The following is a 21,743-nucleotide window of genomic DNA, read 5'->3' as shown; positions in this document are numbered from 1 at the left end:
GCACCAATGGTGTATACAAAATAAGCGGAAATACCAAATGTCAAGGTTGGGTGGGGGAGTCAGTTACGTCCCAGCAGGGATCCCAGGAAAATGCTTCCTCTGTGAAAATACTACTCTTTGCCACTCCTTTCCAAAAAATATTATCAAGATTGGATTCCATGTGAAAACATTATGTAACTCAGGGCTCAGGGAAGAGAGAAAGGGGTAGGTAGCATGAGGGAAAGATGAGATTCCAGTCAGATTCTGACAAAGGAACAAAGGCAGCATCGGAGCACACACACTCACATACACAGGCAGGGAGGAAGGAAGATTTCCTTCCCGGGGGCCACCATTCATATCCCACACGAATCCAATTAGTAGGGTGCTCAAAATGAGCTCAGGCTCGAGGAGCCCCCAGAACGCTCACCCTCCTTCCGTCCGTAGCGTACAGCTTGACCACAGGGCGCTGCATGACCTCTGTCAGGTGCTGTAGAAATGCCTCGAAGCTCTGGGTGACCCTCCTGCTCAGAAGAACCGCACGCCTCGTCTTCGGGTCGCCATTCCTGAAGACCACTAGGCTCCGTGGGGGGCGGGGCATGCCGGGAGCAGCGACGGCTACGGGGTGGGGCGGTGAGTGCGCGCTAATGGCCCGGCTGCTGAGCCAGGGCCGCGGGCGCCGACGGGCTTTGTCCAGGTCTACAGGCTGCACCTTCCTGCCGTGGGAACATAGGTAGGACTCGCCGTCCTCCAGCTCCTCCAGGCGCGTGATGCTGTGCCTGCCCCGAGGGGTGCTGATGTTCCTCACTCCAAAAGGGAGGGGCACCTTCCTGGACAAGTTATCCAGCAGAGCATCAAAGGACTTAAAGGAGCGAGGGTTGACCACCACCCTGACCCCGCCGAATTGGGGGTCTCCGCTCTTGTAGAAACTGATTCGCTTGGCCACAACAGGATGAGTGAGGCTCAAATGGCGAGGGGGTGGAACTTGACCTTCAGAAGACGTAGGATGAATGATGGAAAAACCAGTAGAAGGGGTATCACTCATTTTGGCTGAGACCTAGAGAAGAAAGAAAATTATCTCCAGAATCACAGCACCATAGCGAATACATGGTAATACTAATGCATGCTAAATATAGCTGCAGACATCCAGGATATTCACAGAAGTTTATTCTTTCATTCATTTATTCATTCATTATACCTATCAATTTTGAACGACAATTTTAAGGAACTTATAATAAAAGAGATAAACTGTTAAATAAGGATATGTATAATTTGAAAAAACAACCTAAACACACGAATAAGGGCCTAGATAAATTATCACATATACACCCATGCAATGGAAAACTATGCAACCATTAAACATGACCTTATAGATGTATCTTTTGGCATAGAAAGATGATCATGACATATTACTAAGTGAAAAAAATCAGTTTGCAAAACATTCTGTGCCACTGATTTAAATGTATACGTACAGTCACATTGCTTAACAAGGAGGATAAGTTCTGAGAAATGCATTGTTAGGTGATTTCATCATTGTGTGAACATCAGAGAGTGTACTTACACAAACAGATGATATAGCCTACTACACACCCAGGCTTTATGGAATAACCTATTCCTCCTAGGCTATAAATCTGTACAGCATGTTACTGTTTGAATACCGTAGGGCATTGTAATACAGTGGTAATTTGTTATCTAAACATATCTAAACATAGAAAAGGTATAGTCAAAATATGGTATTATAATCTTATGGGGCCACCATCATATAGGTAGTCCACCATTGACCAAAGTAGTGTTATGTGGCACATGACTGAGTTATATGAATTGGGGAAAAGTCCAGAAATATATACAACCCAGTGTTGATGGTGGTTATCTCTGGATTGCAGAATTCTGGATAATATTTGTGTTTTTTATACATTGCTAAACTTTGTGAACCTTTAAAATTAGCAGGTATTATTGCACAATTTAAAAAACAACAGAGACACAAATCAGAAACCATCCACTGAGAAAAGTAAGAGAGTTTTGCAGTTCATCAATTTAGTCCTTCATATCCTGACAATAAGGAAATATGGGAGAAACAGGAAATGTTTTTAAAGTTCAAATTGTCTGGAGGAAAATGTACTTGACATTAAGTTCTAGGAGGAATGTATCACATAGAACCTTAAGTAAGAGCCATCTTAAGATACTGTCAGATGTTTCCACCGCTTATTAGAGAAAATGCAGGCAAATCATCTCACACACCACTTATCTTACTTTGGGAAACACTGCACTAAGCAAAAATGTCCTTTGAATGAATGACAGCATTGCTATGGGCTGCTAAAACTGGTGCAGTCTGGTTACTGGTCCCACTAGTAGTTCTAAAGTTAAACCTTCAGGAGAGAATTCAAGAAGAGTAATTTTCAGCAAAGCACTAAGGTTTTCCTTTTCCACTTCTCAGTGAAACTGGAGTTTGACTGACAAATGAGCAGCATGTGGAAGGATTTATCTGGTTCTGGCCTTGTTTTCATTTGTGGCTGTTTTCTATTGTTTGAAATCATTTTAATTATTAGTGTCTTTTGACACAGTAAGAAAGTCCTGCAGCCTTGAAGACAAATTGAACAAACAAAATTAATGTGATTGGTAATACAGAGATGGAAAAAGGCATGTTTATCATTGTAAATCAGCTATAAACCTGGCCCAAATTATCTACTTAAATGTTTGCAAGCTGTTGTCCAAGATTCTTCATATATCTCCAATCTGATTTGCAAATCTTATTTAAATGTAACTTAGAAAAAAAAACATTTGAAGATCAGCCTAGAAATTAGATGTCTTCCCTTCCTTCTTCCTCAGAGGTTTAAAGTAATTATAATACTTAAGCCAAAAAAATAGCAGCTGTAGCAGACATGTGCATCAGGAGCTGGGGAATCCAGCTTCGCAATGGAGTCAGCAAAACTGCAACCTCTTCTCATCCTCATCTGGTCAACTGTGGTCTGACCTTGAGCAAGCTGCTTAATCGCCATGGCCTCAGCAACTGTAAGAAGGATGAGTTCCTTCAGTATTTAAATAAGACTTTAGGCCCGGGCGTGGTGGCTCACACGTGCAATCCCAGCACTTTGGGAGGCCAAGGCGGGTAGATCACCCGAGGTTAGGAGTTCAAGACCAGCCTGGCCAACATGGTGAAATCTCATCTCTACTAAAAATACAAAAATTAGCCAGGCATGGTGGCGTGTGCTTGTAGTCCCAGCTACTCTACTCGGGAGGCTGAGGCAGGAGAATTGCTTGAACCCAGGAGGCAGATGTTGCAGTGAGCTGAGATCGCACCACTGCACCCCAGCCTGGATGACAGAGCAAGACTCCATTTCAAGAAAAAAATAAAATAAAAAATAAGTAAGACTTTAGAACTCTGTCTCCAATTATATTTTAGGTTGGTGTACTTATATGTTTATTTGAAAATATCGTACATGAATAATATTTGAGACACATTTTTCACTTAATTTTGGAAAATGATATTTTTCTTGGTGTAGGTGCATCATGAGGCTCTTAATGTCACTTTTTAAATGCCTGAATCTCACTATTTGGAGAGCTGTTAACCTGGTGACCACTTTGGGAACACATCTATGTGAGCCAATATGCTAAGAATTTTGTGGGTAGTTTTGTTTGTCGGTTTTGGCTAAAGAGAAAGATTTTGTGCTGGGGCCAGGAGGGAAAACATAGAAGATAAAGACAATAGGAGCAAAGAAGCAGCTGCCATTGTCCCTATCCCACTGCTACCCAGCCCTGAGCATTGGTTTTGAGCCCAGTGCATGAAGGGCAGGTGCTGAAGGTACCATGACCTGGGAAGATGCCAGGTCCCCAGCAGTGGAGGAGCATTTGCAGAGAAGGTGCATCCAACACGTGGTTGCCAGGCACCTTGTTGGGGATGCTGTAGTGAAAACAAAACAAAAATACAAGTTCACATGATCTTCATATGTGTGAGAGAATCTCTGGGAACTCCTAGAAGTCACTGGGGGAACTTTTAGGTAGAGTGTTGAGATTCTGCATCCTTGTAGGTGAGTCTTAAGAGCCTATGATAAAGAGGGCCTTGTGTGTAAAACCCAGAACATGATAAAGATTAGGTATTATTGTTGAATAAAAACATTTGTGTTCATTGATTGCACAATGTCATCATTTGGAAAGAGGGTGCAAACCAAGTATTTCTGAAGGAAGTGAATCAGCTTTTGCCCTGTCTTAATAATGTGCATTTCCTACAGAGTCCATGGGAAGTTCACAGAGTAACTCAATAGCTCAACTGAAGAAGAGGAAGAGTTGGGGTACCAAGAGAATATTAAGGAGGGATGTCTAATACAGCCTCAGGGATTGGGGGTAGGAGTGAGAAGAGAGGGCAATTTCCAGAGGAGAGTCTGTGTAAAGTTGAGATGCCAGAGGCAAAAAGTGGTAGAGATGCCCTCCAGGAAGAAGGCAGAGGTGGTACACCATTTACCTGGTGCACCTGAGCAAGACTAGCAACGTGGTCATTAAGTCTTGACAATACAGTGCCCACTTCTGTGAAACAGAGCTACCAGCCCTCCATAACGTTTTTGAGTTCTCCTATGTTAGCTGTGCTCCATTCTTAATCAGTTTTAAGAACGAATCAGAATTTGCATGGAAATTTAGCAATGTATCTTTACATACATTTTCGATAATAAGGTGTATCTTATGCCCTTTAAATTTGGAATAAGGCAGTAATATACTTAAGGGCTACCTAGGGAACGAACAAACTGAGCAGCATAAAATGGTTGAATTCTCCCAGAAGTTTAGGCTGAAGAAGTGGTGGAGGTGGAAAGAGGTAACTGTAGAATCTTGAGGCCCTCCAGTTTCTTCACCAGTGACTTCCTTATATGTAGCAAGGAAGCTGGTTTACAAAAACTTTTTGCCTTAAAATCCGCTTCTAATGACATGACAGCTTGCTACCAATATCGTCTCTTCTTCTCTGCAGAGACTCTTTATTGCCTAAAGTTAGACAATGGAGCTATCATGCATACTTTCATTGCTCTTTAATATTAAGCAGATTTTTTAACACCCTTAGGCTCAACTGTGGCTAGGCTTATCTGTGGCATCATTAGTTTCAATCAAACCCCACTTAAAACAATCATTTACAGCTGTGCTGCTCAGAACTAAATAGTTGGCCTCTACCAAGAGGGCTGTGTCTTCACTCTCTCACTCACTTGACAAAACATGACAGAGTTACATGCGTCATTTCACTAATTATATTTTAAGTTTAATTTTCTACCACATAGTGTGAATTCAGACAAGTCACAAATAATGAAGTAGAAAAAATGGAAAATTGAGAAATACAGAATGTACAGAATGTTCATTCTTTTAGCAATTCAGAGACTTGATGTTGCAAGAAAAATCAGTTCATTTCAGATTTTCATAAGCCTATGGGGCAGAGTTGAGAGAGGAGATTCAAAAAGGAAAATCACCAGTTATTCACTGTGGTAGTCACAGCATTGTTGAATTACAAGCAGCTGTCTTCTTCTTTAGTGTATTGCCTAGATGTCTATAAGAAGTATATAATGCTTTTATTGTCAGAAACAAAGTAAACATTACTCATTTGAATAAACTAGAATCACTTGATTTCCTGATACTGAAGTTCCATTCTATTTCAATATCAGCATATTGTGAAGGTTGCTGGCATAGTTAGGTAAAAGATAATTATTAATAACATTTATGCTTTTTCTAACAGTTAAAGACAGAACACAGATATATAATCTAAGTATAACATGGAAAACAAAATACAACTAGCAAAACAGAATATTTTCCAAAGAAAGATTTCAAATAGTTTTGTACTTACCACAACTTGAAACGTCCCTTATTAAGAAAAGAAAAAGATGTTTAAGTTGTTTAAATAGCTCAAATAAATGTCACTGGATATGTAACCTCATTTCGTGCAAAGAAACTAATGTCTTTGGATTTATTCTCAGTATGTCCAGCAAGGGATTGAGTACAGCCAATTAATTTAATCCATGGTGATGCTAATCACCAGACAGAGCTCACCCTAAGGAGACAACAGCCAGAAGCAAACCAGTTCCTAGCATGCTCTGCAGTTGTGAAATCTTCCTCATGAAGGTTTCCCTTGCATCTTCTTTCTTGCCTAGTGTTATCCTCCAGAAAAAGTACTTCACCAGTACACAAGCATTTCTCTCCCAGACAACTTTTAACCCTCATTTATTTATGTTAACAGGAGAAAGTTGTTATTGTGCAGGCTAAAAATGAAATTGTTTGACATTTTCTCATTCTGATAAGTTTCTAAGTCAGTACTTGCTCCTGGTAATCATTTAAAAATAAAGATCTAGGCCTTTTGTTTTATTTAGGCACTCTTGCTTATTACCTCATTGATGTAATTCTGAAATGACTGTGAACGTACACAATTTGGTGACTCAGCATAACGCAGGACAAACAGCAGAAGCAGCACACGATGAAATGCTATGATTTTATGCTTCTGCATACCCAGCACGCTTCCACTGCTTCCCTTACTCATACTGGGGTTTGAACATGTTTCAGGACTTTGTCACACATAAAGTCCCCAGATGGCACCTGATCCTTCTAATGACTACCTGTGGTCTAATCGGACTTGAAGATGCTTCACCTAATCGGGTTTCCTACGGGGCTTCCTGCCTCAGCTCTGAACAACAAAAACAAGGTAAGGGGTCCTCTGGGGAAACAGGACCAGGTTCAAGCATGTGCGCCACAATGTTGTCTCCACACCAATCACAAAAGGAAAAAGGTCATGAAACTGCACACTTTGCCTCATAAATACTGACTTTGTTGCAGGCCACCTATGAGAGAGAAATGGAGAGAGGAGTAGGGAGGGATGGGGAGAAAGAGAAAGAGTGAGGTGTAGATAAGAGAAACAGTAGTGTCCAGCTTTGATACAAACCTCCATTTATAATTATCACTGTCTACACACAGACATGGCTATTAAATCAGTAAGGAAATTTGTGTTTACAGGGTAGCAATAGGCATGAATTGTATCATTACCAGCTCCAAATTGAAGTACAAATTCAAAAAGTTTGGGATCAGATATGATCTGCCATTAAATAGCTAAGGACTAATGCAGCATTTCTCTTGACTTTATCTTTAATTCTATAATCTATGTCTGATAAACAATTCACATTGATCAGTTCTGTTTTGACACTGAAAGTATTTCTGCCAGTGAGGCTTTTGGCATTCCTTAGACTCACTTATCAAAGGTGGGCCAGGGCCAGAAGCATCAGCATCAAAAGAATCAAAAGAACCAAAAAAGGTTTCTTTTGGAGCACTTTTAGGAAAGATAACATTTCTTACATATAAGACAGCACAAAATGGGCTCTCCATTTCTGAGCATCTCCCGTAGTATACGTTCCACTCCCACAACTCCAGTTAAGGACAGAGACCAGGTATCCCTGTTATCCAGTCGAGCTACCATACCCTCTCCCTGGTATCACTTGTCTCTGGCACATATCAGTGTGTATCTAAACCATGGCTTCCCAAGCTTGAAGGTGCACATGAATTTCCTGGGATCTTGCTGCAGTGGTTGACTCAGTAGGCCTGGGGTGGGGTCTGAGAGTCTACATTTCTAATAAGCTGATGCTGATGCTTCTGGCCCTGGCCCGCCTTTGATAAGTGAGTCTAAGAAATGCCAAAAGCCTCATTGGCAGAGTTCATATTAGGCTTCTTCCCTGAGAATGACTTCAATTGCCATGGCCTCTGAGATTACCTGTATGTCATATCTGAGCTCTGTTAAGTTCTGTCTAGTCACTGCTGTTAGAGTGGCCAGATGACAGGAGTGGTGTTAAGCATACATTCTCAGCATACCACTGAGTCAGTCAGACCTCAGTTCAAATCCTGCCTCTTCCACTTTGCTATGTGAATCTGCAAGCCATGTACTTAATTCCTCTGTCTACTTCCCTGGCCATAAAATGTGGAAAAGTACCTGCTTTATAGGCTCATTGGTGAGGGTTAAGTAAGAGAATATACATTATGTGTTTGACACAGTGTCTGAATGTCATAACAAGTGTTCAGTAAATGGACATTATTATTTTTGCCATGTTTATCTTCTTTTAACACACTTCCATGATCCTCACAGCATTTAGTAAATGACTTCATGCCCTAGCATGCCTCAAAAATTGTGATCTGACTTCAGCTTACTTTTCCAATTTCATTTCGATCCATATGTCTTACTCTGTAGTTTTGATTATTTGAAGTTTTTTAAATGTGGCTCTAGATTTTTGCATATATTGTTTATCTTACTTGGAATGCCTCCTCATAACCCAGACACCCTGCCTTTCATTGCCATACATTTTCTGTCCCTTCCTTCCACACTCAGTTCATCTCAGAAACCTTTCTTGAACCCCTGCCTTCCCACTACATCAACACGCTGAATGAAGTAAGTACCCTCCAATATGCCCCCTTATCTATCTGTATAAATATACTCTCTATACATTTCATACTGCACAAACAACTGGTGCATCAAGCACCAGAAGTGTAACTTCTTTATCATCTCTGAATTTCCAGAAACAGCTCAATACCTTATATATATCAGGCACTTAATAAATACCTATTAAAGGAATGATCCTCTGCCTGCCTTAGTACAGAATTGTTGTGGAGATATATATGCCTGAAGAATGCTGTCTCATTGTAACTGCTAGAATTTACCTTTCCAGGCAGGCCCAAGGAACCCAGGACAGAGATCAGACTATATCAGGAAGCATAATAATTTTGTATACCTTTTATGGAATATGGCCTTCGTCCTTTGTCATCCAAGCCACATAGAATTCTGTGTATGGTCCATTCTGATGAAGTTAAATTATTGGATATTGAACCTAAATGGCCTCTACCTTAAAAAACCATTCCCTGTAAAAACCCATTCCCCTTCCTTCTTTACTCATTTGTTTATTTGTTCAACAGATAATTAATGCATACTCACTGTGTATTAGACACACATAGCAACAAACACAACAGAAAAAAATCCTTGCCTTCATGGGGTCACATTATCCTGCAGAGACAAACTATGAATAAAAAAAGCAAATCTACAGCATGTTAGATCCTATAAAGTGCTATGGAGAAAAGTGAGGTAAAGTAGGAGTGGCAGTGGTAGAGGTCAGGGAAAACCTCACTGAGAAGTGACGTGAGAAGAAATCTAAAAGTAGTCAGGGGAAATGGTGTTCAGATATTTGACAGAAGTGTGTTCCTGGCAGAGAGAGTAAGTGCAAAGGTTTGTGGGAAGTATTTGAAGTATTTGAGAAATTATAAGAAGACCAGTGTGGCTAGAAAGCAGGGCACCAAATTATACAGGGTCTGTAGCCGTTGGTAAATACTTTGGCTTTAACTTTAAGTGAGATGAGAAACCAAGGAAGGATTTTGAGAAGAGAAGTAATGATCTCACACTTCCAAGGATTACTTTGACAATGATGTTAAAAATACTGGTATATCCAATGGAAGATGGCAGAGTAGGCAGTGCCAGGAACTCATCTCCCCACTTGGACAAAAATTGTACTAGCAGAAACTGTCTGAAGTTAATATTTTGGAACTCTGAAGTATATCTGAATGCTTGCAGGTTCCAGAGGAAGGCTTGGCTGGTAAATTGTAATTAATTTCCATTTATTTCAGCCATTAGTGCTATAGTGACTACTCATTCCTCATCCCCCAGCCCCATGGCAGGCAGCTGTGGGGACAGCAGCCTGCATTCCTACAGCAGCTTGCAGGATCCAGAGTGAGAAATAAGAACTCCCTCCTCCAAATACTAAGTTTCTGTGTTCTGGCTGCTGATTTCTGCTTCTGATTGCAGAGGTGCATACAGAGGTAGGCATTGTTGCAGCTCTCAGTGGCAGAAGTGGCTTCCAGGGGATTTAAAGATATAATACCTGGGACGTTTTTCTTCTTTTTAAATCATCTACCCCATTTTAGGAACTAGGCACTTAAAGATGAGATATTCAAAAGCAACCGCATTATACCGGGGAGTTTAGAAAGTCATCTCATATGCTCAGGGAAAAACATAGACTCAGAAAAGACCTGAATACCATAAGCTTCTACTGCAGGCTGATCCTTGGCAAAGAGAAACCGTACAAATAAAAAAGAAAGGTTGGGGGGCAGGGGGGAATAGGAAGGAAGGAAGGAAGGAAGGAAGGGAGAGAGGGAGGGAGGGAGGGAGGGAAAGAAAACAACAAACCATGGGGAGGGGAGAGGATTAAATTTCCAGAGTTACCAAATTATATGATTCAAATAGAGTTTTAAACAAAGAAAAAGTCACAATGCACACACATTAAAAAAGAGGAAAGTATATCCCATTAAAAGGAACAAAATAACAGAAAATGTCCCTGAGGAAGCCAGATGGCAGAATTACTAGACAAAGACTATAAAACAACTATCTTAAAGATGCTTAAAGCACTAAAGGAACACATGGACAAAAACAGGAACAAAATGAGATGTATGAACAAAATAAGAATATTATTAGAGATAGGAAATATGAAAAGGAACCAAAAAGAAATTCTGGAGCAGAAAAGTACAAAATGGACATGAAAAATTCACAAGAGCAGTTCAAAAACAAATTTGAGCAGCAAAAACAATCAGCAGAACTTGAAAATAGGACAACTGAAAGTTTTGAGTTTGATGACCAGAAAGAAAAACTATTAAGGAAAGGTAAACAGAGTTTGAAGGACCTGGGGATACCATCAACTAGAATAACATACACATTATGGGAGTTCCAGAAGGAGAAGAGAAAGAGAAAAGGGCAGAGATATTTGAAGAAAAAATGGCCAAAATTTTCCCAAGTTGGATGAAATACATGAATCTACAAATTCAAAAGTTCGATGAACTACACGTAGGATGAACTACAAGAGACCTGCACTGAAATACATTAAAGCATCAAAAGGGAAGCAATTCATCAGATACAAGGGATCCTCTATATGATTATTCACCAGTTTCTCATTAGAAACCTTGGAGGCCAGAAGGCACAGTATGATATATTCAAAGTGCTGAAGGGAAAAGAACTGCCAGCCAAGACTTCTATATCTGGCAAAACTGTCTTTTAAAAATGAGGGCAAAATTAAGACAGTCCTTGATAGATAAAAGCTCGGGAAGTTTATTACCAATAGACCTGCTCCTCAAGAAATGTTACAGGAAGTCCTTCAAGTTAAAACAAAAAGGCACTATATTAGATTGTAAAAAAAGAAATTCAGGTACGCCAATTAGGAGGGCATTGTAATAATCCAAGCAAGAAGTGAGGATTACTCAGACCAAGATAGCTGCTGTGGATGTGACAGCATTTGCAGATGTCTTAGTTATGGATTGGATATGGATTGGCTGTGGGGAATGAGAGCAATAAAACTGTCAAGGAAGACTAAGATTTTTGTCCAGTACATCTGGAAGAATGGAGTTGCTAATTATTCAGATGGAGAGGACCTCAGAAGTACCAGTCAAGAGAGTGGGAGGTGATAGTGAATATCACCTTGAAAAGCATATTAGACATCCAAATAGAAATATCAAGTAGGCAGTATACTGAAGATTCTTAAGTATACTAAAGGCATTATACTAAAGGTTCAAGCTAAAGGTATAAACGTGATGCACTGATATACTGATGGTGCTTAAAACTTGGAAGAATCTGGATGAGAACTTCCAAGAAGTGAGTGTAAATAGAGAAGAGAATTGGTGCAAGATCAGATCCCAAAGCACTGCAAAGATAGCAGCCACAGAGACGGTGAGGAACCATCAGCAAACTCCAGCAAAGGAGTTTATGAGGAAAAGGTGCATCAACAGAGTAGTGTTCTGGAAGCCAAAGGAAAGAAGTGTTTCAAAAGGAGGTAGTGATGAGCTGTGTCAAATGGTACTCATACATCAAGTAAGAGGAGTGCTGAGAAGTAAGCATGGGCTTTAGCAATGTGAAGTTTATCTGTAACCTCAAGACCTTTTTTGGTGGAACAGTATGGATAAAATCTTCACTGGGCATAGGGGCAAAAGAAAACTAGAAGGAGAGGGATTGGAGTCAGCACGTGGAGATAAATTTTTTGCTAGTTTTCTTTCTGTTAGTTTGTTTTTCCATATTTAAAATCAGACACAGTTTGAGGTGTAATATGCGTGTATGCTGATAGGAATGAACCAGTCAAAAGGGAAGATTTAATGCTGTGGGTAAGAGCAGGGAGCTCTTGGAGCTGCATCCTTCAGTGCCTAACAGGGAGATGGAATATAATGCACAACAGAGGTGTATGTCTCAGCAGGGATTAAGGAGAAGGCCATCCCCAGTAGCAGAAAGACAGGCAGTGATGCTGGTAGAGGTGACCTTCCCTTCTGACTGCTTCTCCATCTCAGCGACCTGGGATGTGAGGCCATCCACTGAGGGTGTGAGTGAGGGGGAGGAGGTGTTATTAATCTAATGAGACAGGAGAAGCTGTGAAATAGTCACCCAGTGGAATGAAAGGAGGACCAGAAGAGGAGGTATAGTAGGCTTGTGGGGGGCATTGAGAACCTGCTGTTGGTTAGTAACCATAAGTGTATTCTGTTTTATGTTGTTTTCTCTTTTTTTGTTGTTGTGTTTTGTTTTGGTTTCGGTTTTCTTTTGGTTTGTTTAAGACAAGGTTTTGCTCTGTCACACAGGCTGGAGTACAGAGACACAATCATGGCTCATTGCAGCCTCTACCTCCCAGGCTCAAGTGATGCTCCAGCCTAAACCTCCTGAGTAGCTGGGACTGCAGGAGTGCATCACCACACCCAGCTATTTTTTTTTTTAAGACTGGGTCTCACTTTGTTTCCCTGACTGGTCTCAAACTCCTAGGCTCAAGTAATCCTCCTACCTTGGCCTCCCACACAAATGTAAAATGACACCAAGCAGCACCCAATGCAGGCTGGCCAGGAGACTGTTCTTTCCTGGCTCTTGCTACCCAGCATTGATCTGCTATGATCTGATGGAATGGGACCATTTCCTGGTCTACACCTTGATTTTCCCTGACATCTATCCATCATAGCTTACTGCCTGTACCTAGCCCTCCTGAACCTGGGTATCCCCAGCCCCATCAACTGGACTTTCCTCATGCCTTAGCATGCCTGTCTGCAACATAAAGTCCTCCGGAACCAAAGAGGCTGATGTCTATCTACTGTCAGATCCTGTCCATGTGACTACAGATAAGACAGTCCCAGCCCCCATCTTCATGGTGCTTAGATGTAGAGGGAAGGCAAACTCAGCCCAAATACACTTTACTAACTAGAAGACTATGGTTTTTAATGTATTATTTGAAAGGAAGAGAGAACAAGCAAAGATTTGAGTATATACAGACTATTGTTATTAGGATAGCAAATATATTTAAGACTTACTCTCTAATTTTCTTTTTTTCTTCAACTTTTAAGTTCAGAGGTACATGTGCAGCATGTACAGGTTTGTTATAGGAAAATGTGTGCCTTGGTGGTTTGCTGCAATATCGTCCATCCCCTAGGAGTTCTCTAATTTTCACTAGATTCCTCCCTTCTTTTTTTACCATGTTGAACAAACATATGTAAGCCAACTTTTTTTTCATAGTCAGTGTATATGCAAAACCATCTCATGCTATTCTTTCGGCCAAGTCATTTGGTTAGTCAGGCACAAATAACTGCCTAGACTGAAAACAGAGGGCAGAGAGGGCTTCTATATGCTCCCTTACATTGAACATACCGTCATGACCATCTAGTTTTTAAAACTGCTTTGTTGATACATGATTTCCATGCCATAAAATTAACCCATTTAAAGTGGATGATTCACACTTGAACTCAGGAGGCAGAGGTTGCAGTGAGCCAAGATTGTGCCACTACACTCCAGCCTGGGCAACAGACTGAGACTTCATCTCAAATTAAAAAAAAAAAAAAAAAAGGCAGATGGCCAAAATAGGAACAGCTCCAGTCTCCAGCTCCCAGTGTGAGCAACACAGAAGATGGGTGATTTCTGCATTTCCAACTGAGGTACCGGGTTCATATCACTGGGGAGTGTCAGACAGTGGGTGCAGGACAGTGGGTGGAGCACATCAAGCATGAGCCGAAGCAGGGTGAGGCATCGCCTCACCCAGGAAGTGCAAGGGGTCAGGGAATTCCCTTTCCTAGTCAAAGAAAGAGGTGACAGACAGCACCTGGAAAACCAGGTCACTCCCACCCTAATACTGCACTTTTCCAATGGTCTTAGCAAATGGCACACCAGGAGATTATATCCCACGCATGGCTCAGAGGGTCCTATGCCCACAGAGCCTCGCTCATTGCTAGCACAGCAGTCTGAGATCAAACTGCAAGGTGGCAGCGAGGCTAGGGGAGGGGTCCGTGCCGTTGCCGAGGCTTGAGTAGGTAAACAAAGTGGCCAGGAACCTCAAACTGGGTGAAGCCCACCGCAGCTCAAGGAGGCCTGCCTGCCTCTATAGACTCCACCTCTGGGGGCAGGGCATAGCCAAATAAAAGGCAGCAGAAACCTATGCAGACTTAAATGTCCCTGTCTGAAAGCTTGGAAGAGAGTAGTGGTTCTCCCAGCATGCAACTGGAGATCTGAGAAAAGACAGACTGCCTCCTCAAGTGGGTCCCTGACCCCCGAGTAGCCTAACTGGGAGGCACCCCCCAGTAGGGGCAGACTGACACCTCACACAGCTGGGTACTCTTCTGAGACAAAACTTCCAAAGGAACAATCAGGCAGTAACATTTGCTGTTCACCAATATCCACTGTTCTGTAGCCTCTGCTGCGGATACCCAGGCAAACAGGGTCTGGAGTGGACCTCCAGGAAACTCCAACAGACCTGCAGCTGAGGGTACTGACTGTTAGAAGGAAAACTAACAAACAGAAAGGACATCCACACCAAAACCCCATCTGTTTGTCACCATTATCAAACACCAAAGGTAGATAAAACCACAAAGATGGGGAAAAAACAGAGCAGAAAAACTGGAAACTCTAAAAATCAGAGCGCCTCTCCTCCTCCAAAGGAACACAGCTCCTCACCAGCAATGGAACAAAGCTGGATGGAGAATGACTTTGACGAGTTGAGAGAAGAAGACTTCAGACGATCAAACTACTCTGAGCTAAAGGAGGAGGTTCGAACCCATGGCAAAGAAGTTAAAAACCTTGAAAAAAAATTAGACGAATGGATAACTAGAATAACCAATACAGAGAAGTCCTTAAAGGACCTGATGGAGCTGAAAACCATGGCACGAGAACTACGTGACGAATGCACAAGCCTCAGTAGCCGATTCGATCAACTGGAAGAAAGGGTATCAGTGGTGGAAGATCAAATGAATGAAATGAAGTGAGAAGAGAAGTTTAGAGAAAAAAAGAATAAAAAGAAACAAACAAAGCCTCCAAGAAATATGGGACTATGTGAAAAGACCAAATCTACGTCTGATTGGTGTACCTGAAAGTGATGAGGAGAGTGCAACCAAGTTGGAAAACACTCTGCAGGATATTAACCAGGAGAACTTCCCCAATCTAGCAAGGCAGGCCAATATTCAAATTCAGGAAATACAGAGAACACCACAAAGATACTCCTCGAGAAGAGCAACTCCAAGACACATAATTGTCAGATTCAGCAAAGTTGAAATGAAGGAATAAATGTTAAGGGCAGCCAGAGAGAAAGGTCGGGTTACCCACAAAGGGAAGCCCATCAGAGTAACAGCAGATCTCTCGGCAGAAACCCTACAAGCCAGAAGAGAGTGGGGGCCAATATTCAACATTCTTAAAGAAAAGAATTTTCAACTCAGAATTTCATATCAAGCCAAACTAAGCTTCATAAGTGAAGGAGAAATAAAATACTTTACAGATGAGCAAACGCTGAGAGATTTTGTCACCACCAGGCCTGCCCTAAAAGAGCTCCTGAAGGAAGCACTGAACATGCAAAGGAACAACCGGTACCAGCCACTGCAAAAACATGCCAAATTGTAAGGACCATCAAAGTTAGGAAGAAACTGCATCAACTAATGAGCAAAATAACCAGCTAACATCATCATGACAGGATCAAATTCACACATAACAATATTAACCTTAAATGGAAATGGGCTAAATACTCCAATTAAAAGACACAGACTGGCAAATTGGATAAAGAGTCAAGACCCATCAGTGTGCTGTATTCAGGAAACCCATCTCATCATGTGCAGAGACACACATAGGCTCAAAATAAAGGGATGGAGGAAGATCTACCAAGCAAATGGAAAACCAAAAAAGGCAGGGGTTGCAATCCTAGTCTCGGATAAAACAGACTTTAAACTAACAAAGATCAAAAGAGACAAAGAAGGCCATTACATAATGGTAAAGGGATCAATTCAACAAGAAGAGCCAACTATCCTAAATATATAAGCACCGAATACAGGAGCACCCAGATTCATAAAGCAAGTCCTTAGAGACCTGCAAAGAGACTTAGACTCCCACACAATAATAATGGGAGACTTTAACACCCCACTGTCAGCATTAGACAGATCAACGAGACAGAAAGTTAACAAGGATATCCAGGAACTGAACTCAGCTCTGCACCAAGTGGACCTAATAGACATCTGCAGAACTCTCCACCCCAAATCAACAGAATATACATTCTTTTCAGCACCACACTACACCTATTCCAAAACTGACCACATAGTTGGAAGTAAAGCACTTCTCAGCAAATGTAAAAGAATAGAAATTATAACAAACTCTCTCTCAGACCACAGTGCAATCAAACTAGAACTCAGGATTAAGAAACTCACTCAAAACCGCTCAACTACATGGAAATTGAACAACCTGCTCCTGAATGACTACTGGGTGCATAACGAAATGAAGGCAGTAATAAAGATGTTCTTTGAAATCAATGAGAACAAAGACACAACATACCAGAATCTCTGGGACACATTCAAAGCAGTGTGTAGAGGGAAATTTATAGCACTAAATGCCCACAAGAGAAAGAAGACAAGATCTAAAATTGACACCCTAACATCACAATTAAAAGAACTAGAGAAGCAAGAGCAAACACATTCAAAAGCTAGCAGAAGGCAAGAAATAACTAAGATCAGAGAAGAACTGAAGGAAATAGAGACACAAAAAACCCTTCAAAAAATCAATGAATCCAGGAGCTGGTTTTTTGAAAAGATCAACAAAATTGATAGACCACTAGCAAGACTAATAAAGAAGAAAAGAGAGAAGAATCAAATAGATGCAATAAAAAATGACAAAGAGGATATCACCGCCGATCCCACAGAAATACAAACTACCATCAGAGAATACTATAAACACCTATATGAAAATAAACTAGAAAATCTAGAAGAAATGGATAAATTCCGCAACACATACACCCTCCCAAGACTAAACCAGGAAGAAGTTGAATCTCTGAATAGACCAATAACAGGCTCTGAAATTGAGGCAATAATTAATAGCTTATCAACCAAAAAAAGTCCAGGACCAGATGGATTGACTGCCGAATTCTACCAGAGGTACAAGGAGGATCTGGTATCATTCCTTCTGAAACTATTCCAATCAATAGAAAAAGAGAGAATCCTCCCTAACTCATTTTATGAGGCCAGCATCATCCTGATACCAAAGCCTGGCAGAGACACAACAAAAAAAGAGAATTTTAGACCGATATCCCTGATGAACATCGATGCAAAAATCCTCAGTAAAATACTGGCAAAATGAATCCAGCAGCATATCAAAAAGCTTATCCACCATGATCAAGTGGGCTTCATCCCTGGGATGCAAGGCTGGTTCAACATACACAAATCAATAAACGTAATCCAGCATATAAACAGAACCAACGACAAAAACCACATGATTATCTCAATAGATGCAGAAAAGGCCTTTGACAAAATTCAGCAACTCTTCATGCTAAAAACTCTCAATAAATTAGGTATTGATGGGAATTATCTCAAAATAATAAGAGCTATCTATGACAAACCCACAACCAATATCATACTGAATGGGCAAAAACTGGAAGCATACCCTCTGAAAACTGGCACAAGACAGGGATGCCCTCTCTCACCACTCCTATTCAACATAGTGTTGGAAGTTCTGGCCAGGGCAATCAGGCAGGAGAAGGAAATAAAGGGTGTTCAAGTAGGAAAAGAGGAAGTCAAATTGTCCTGTTTGCAGATGACATGATCGTATATCTAGAAAACCCCATCGTCTCAGTCCCAAATCTCCTTAAACTGATAGGCAACTTCAGCAAAGTCTCAGGATACAAAATCAGTGTACAAAAATCACAAGCATTCTTATACACCAATAACAGACAAACAGAGAGCCAAATCATGAGTGAACTCCCATTCATAATTGCTTCAAAGAGAATAAAATACCTAGGAATCCAACTTACAAGGGATGTGAAGGACTTCTTCAAGGAGAACTACAAACCACTGCTCAATGAAATAAAAGAGGATACAAACAAATGGAAGAACATTCCATGCTCATGGGTAAGAAGAATCAATATCGTGAAAATGGCCACACTGCTCAAGGTAATTTATAGATTCAATGCCATCCCCATCAAGCTACCAATGACTTTCTTCACAGAATTGGAAAAAACTACTTTCAAGTTCATATGGAACCAAAAAAGAGCCCTCATTGCCAAGTCAATCCTAAGGCAAAAGAACAAAGCTGGAGGCACCACGCTACCTGACTTCAAACTATACTACAAGGCTACAGTAACCAAAACAGCATGGTACTGGTACCAAAACAGAGATATAGACCAACGGAACAGAACAGAGCCCTCAGAAATAATGCCGCATATCTACAACCATCTGATCTTTGACAAACCTGACAAAAACAAGAAATGGGGAAAAGATTCCCTATTTAATAAATGGTGCTGGGAAAACTGGCTAGCCATATGTAGAAAGCTGAAACAGGATCCCTTCCTTACACCTTATACAAAAATTAATTCAAGATGGATTAAGGACTTAAATGTTAGACCTAAAACCATAAAAACCCTAGAAGAAAACCTAGGCAATACCATTCAGGACATAGGCATGGGCAAGCACTTCATGTCTAAAACATCAAAAGCAATGGCAACAAAAACAAAAATTGACAAATGGGATCTAATTAAACTAAAGAGCTTCCACACAGCAGAAGAAACTACCATCAGAGTGAACAGGCAACCTACAGAATGGGAGAAAATTTTTGCCATCTACTCATCTAACAAAGGGCTAATATCCAGAATCTACAATGACCTCAAACAAATTTACAAGAAAAAAACAAACAACCCCATCAACAAGTGGGCAAAGGATATGAACAGACACTTCTCAAAAGAAGACATTTATGCAGCCAAAAGACACATGAAAAAATGCTCATCATCACTGGCCATCAGAGAAATGCAAATCAAAAGCACAATGAGATACCATCTCACACCAGTTAGAATGGCAATCATTAAAAAGTCAGGAAACAACAGGTGCTGGAGAGGATGTGGAGAAATAGGAACACTTTTACACTGTTACTGGGACTGTAAACTGGTTCAACCATTGTGGAAGTCAGTGTAGTGATTCCTCAGGGATCTAGAACTAGAAATACCATTTGACCCAGCCATCCCATTACTGGGTATATACCCAAAGGATTATAAAACATGCTGCTATAAAGACACATACACATGTATGTTTATTGCAGCACTATTCACAATAGCAAAGACCTGGAACCAACCCAAATGTCCAACAATGATAGACTGGATCAAGAAAATGTGGCACATATACACCTTGGAATACTATGCAGCCATAAAAAAGGATGAGTTCATGTCCTTTGTAGGGACGTGGATGAAGCTGGAAACCATCATTCTCAGCAAACTGTCGCAAGGACAAAAAACCAAACACCGCATGTTCTCACTCATAGGTGGTAATTGAACAATGAGAACACATGGACACAGAAAGGGGAACATCACACACTGGGGCCTGTTGTGGGGTGGGGGAAGAGGGGAGGGATAGCACTGGGAGATATACCTAATGTTAAATGAAGAGTTAATGGGTGCAGCACACCAACATGGCACATGTATACATATGTAACAAACCTGCACGTTGTGCACATTTACCCTAAAACTTAAAGCATAATTTAAAAAAATGGATGATTCAGTGATTTGTAGAATATTCAGAGTTGTTCCAAGATTACAATGATCTAAGTTTAGAACACCTCAGAAAGAAAGAAAGAAACTGTACCTATCCCACCACCCCTACACCAGCCCTAGGCAACCACGAATCTACTTTCTGTCTTTATGGATTTGCCTATTTTGAACATTTCATATAAATGGAGTCATGCCATATGTGATCTTTTATGGCTGGCTTTTTTCACTTAGCATAGTGCTTTTGAGATTCATCCATGTAGTAGCATATATTAGTACTTTATTCCTTATTATTTTCAAATATTTTATTGTATTTTATTTATTCATTCACCATTTGAATAGCATTTAGGTTGTTTCCAGTTTGGGGCTCCTGCAGATAATACTTCTATGAACATTCTTGTGCAAGTCTTTGGTACTATCGCTTCTTTCTTTTTTTTTTTTTTCTAAGTTTTTTATTTTGTTTTTTTTTATTATACTTTAAGTTTTAGGATACATGTGCACAATGTGCACGTTAGTTACATATGTATACATGTGACATGCTGGTGCGCTGCACCCACTAACTCGTCATCTAGCATTAGGTATATCTCCCAATGCTATCCCTCCCCCCTCCCCCAACCCCACAACAGTCCCCAGAGTGTAATGTTCCCCCTCCTGTGTCCATGTGTTCCCATTGTTCAATTCCCACCTATGAGTGAGAATATGCGGTGTTTGGTTTTTTGTTCTTGTGAATATCGCTTCTTTCAAAAAAAATTACATATCCACATGTTGAAAATATTTTAGGTTTTCTTTTTATTTAGCATTCATTCTTATGATAGGATTTCAAAGCTTAATTTTTAACAGTGGAGAGGTATCTTTGATAAACCCCATTATTTGCCTTTTCATGTCTTTATGCAAGTTACTTGTAGGTCATGTAAGTCAATACTCCTACATTGTAAGGCAGAATGGCAAAACGAAATGGTCAGATTAGTTGCAGAGAATAGTCCAGACCGAAATGGAGGAGACCACGTCTCCCTATTCCTCTCACTAAGTACAACCGAAAACCCCGGACATTATATATAAAGCAAATACACTGAAAGACACAGACAAGAAGACAGGAGGGCTAGGAATCACAAAACTCAAGGAATGACACAGCAGTGTGTTCTCTGGGTTTTCTTTTTGTCCCATATATCCCAAACTAGGTGCTAGAGAAGCCAGTGACCAAAAAACACCGATAGGAGCAGATTTAAAATGCTCCAATGAAAGTCACCTCTCTCTGGCCAAGGGTCCAGGAAAGGGGCAAGCTAGTAAGACAGAAAACATTTAGGCAATACCTGCCCAATGCAGCCAAACACCACAGGAAAATACCCAGGCCTCACCATACTCTTATCTGCCTTGGGAAGCCTCGACCTGTGCCCTTCTCCAGCAATAATGAGGCATCCCTCTCTTCCCTACACTGGATGATATCAGTGAAGGCCAAGTGGGGAACCAAGACTTCCATCTCCACCTGGTAGTAAAGCCACCACACTCCCTCTTATTCGTATCAGAAGAAGCCCAGAGGGAAGCCAGAACTTTCACCACCATTTAGCAGTAATGGGTCTGCCCAAATCCCTCCCCAACTCCCCGCCACTCTGCAGGGTAAATGAGACCACAAAGGAAGCCTGTATTAGTCTGTTCTCATGCTGCTAATAAAGCCATTCCCAAGACTCGGTAATTTATAAAGAAAGAGGTTTAATTGACTCAAAGTTCTACATGGCTGGGCAGGCCTCACAATCATGGCAGAAGATGAAGGAAGGGCAAAGGGACTTCTTACATTATGGC

The 21,743-nt window shown here is 40.9% G+C and overlaps 1 protein-coding gene across 8 annotated transcripts in view; it reads right to left on the bottom strand.

Annotated features, from left to right (window-relative positions):
• RP1 (RP1 axonemal microtubule associated) overlaps positions 1-21,743 on the bottom strand; it is a 312,050-nt gene that overhangs the window by 249,247 nt on the left and 41,060 nt on the right. For 7 of the 8 annotated variants that reach the window (XM_047422069.1, XM_047422070.1, XM_047422071.1 and 4 more), the window contains one exon: positions 407-1,033. In XM_047422069.1, the coding sequence (XP_047278025.1) occupies positions 407-1,033 (627 nt within the window). Of the gene's footprint in view, positions 1-406; positions 1,034-5,785; positions 5,893-21,743 lie in introns of those variants that run through there. The other variant, NM_006269.2, reaches the window with a different exon arrangement.

Source organism: Homo sapiens, chromosome 8 (genome assembly GCF_000001405.40).
Source record: "Homo sapiens chromosome 8, GRCh38.p14 Primary Assembly".
Classification (NCBI taxonomy): Eukaryota; Metazoa; Chordata; class Mammalia; order Primates; family Hominidae; genus Homo; species Homo sapiens.
Note: the sequence above shows the minus strand (reverse complement) of the source record. Positions and strands in the feature narration are given on the sequence as shown.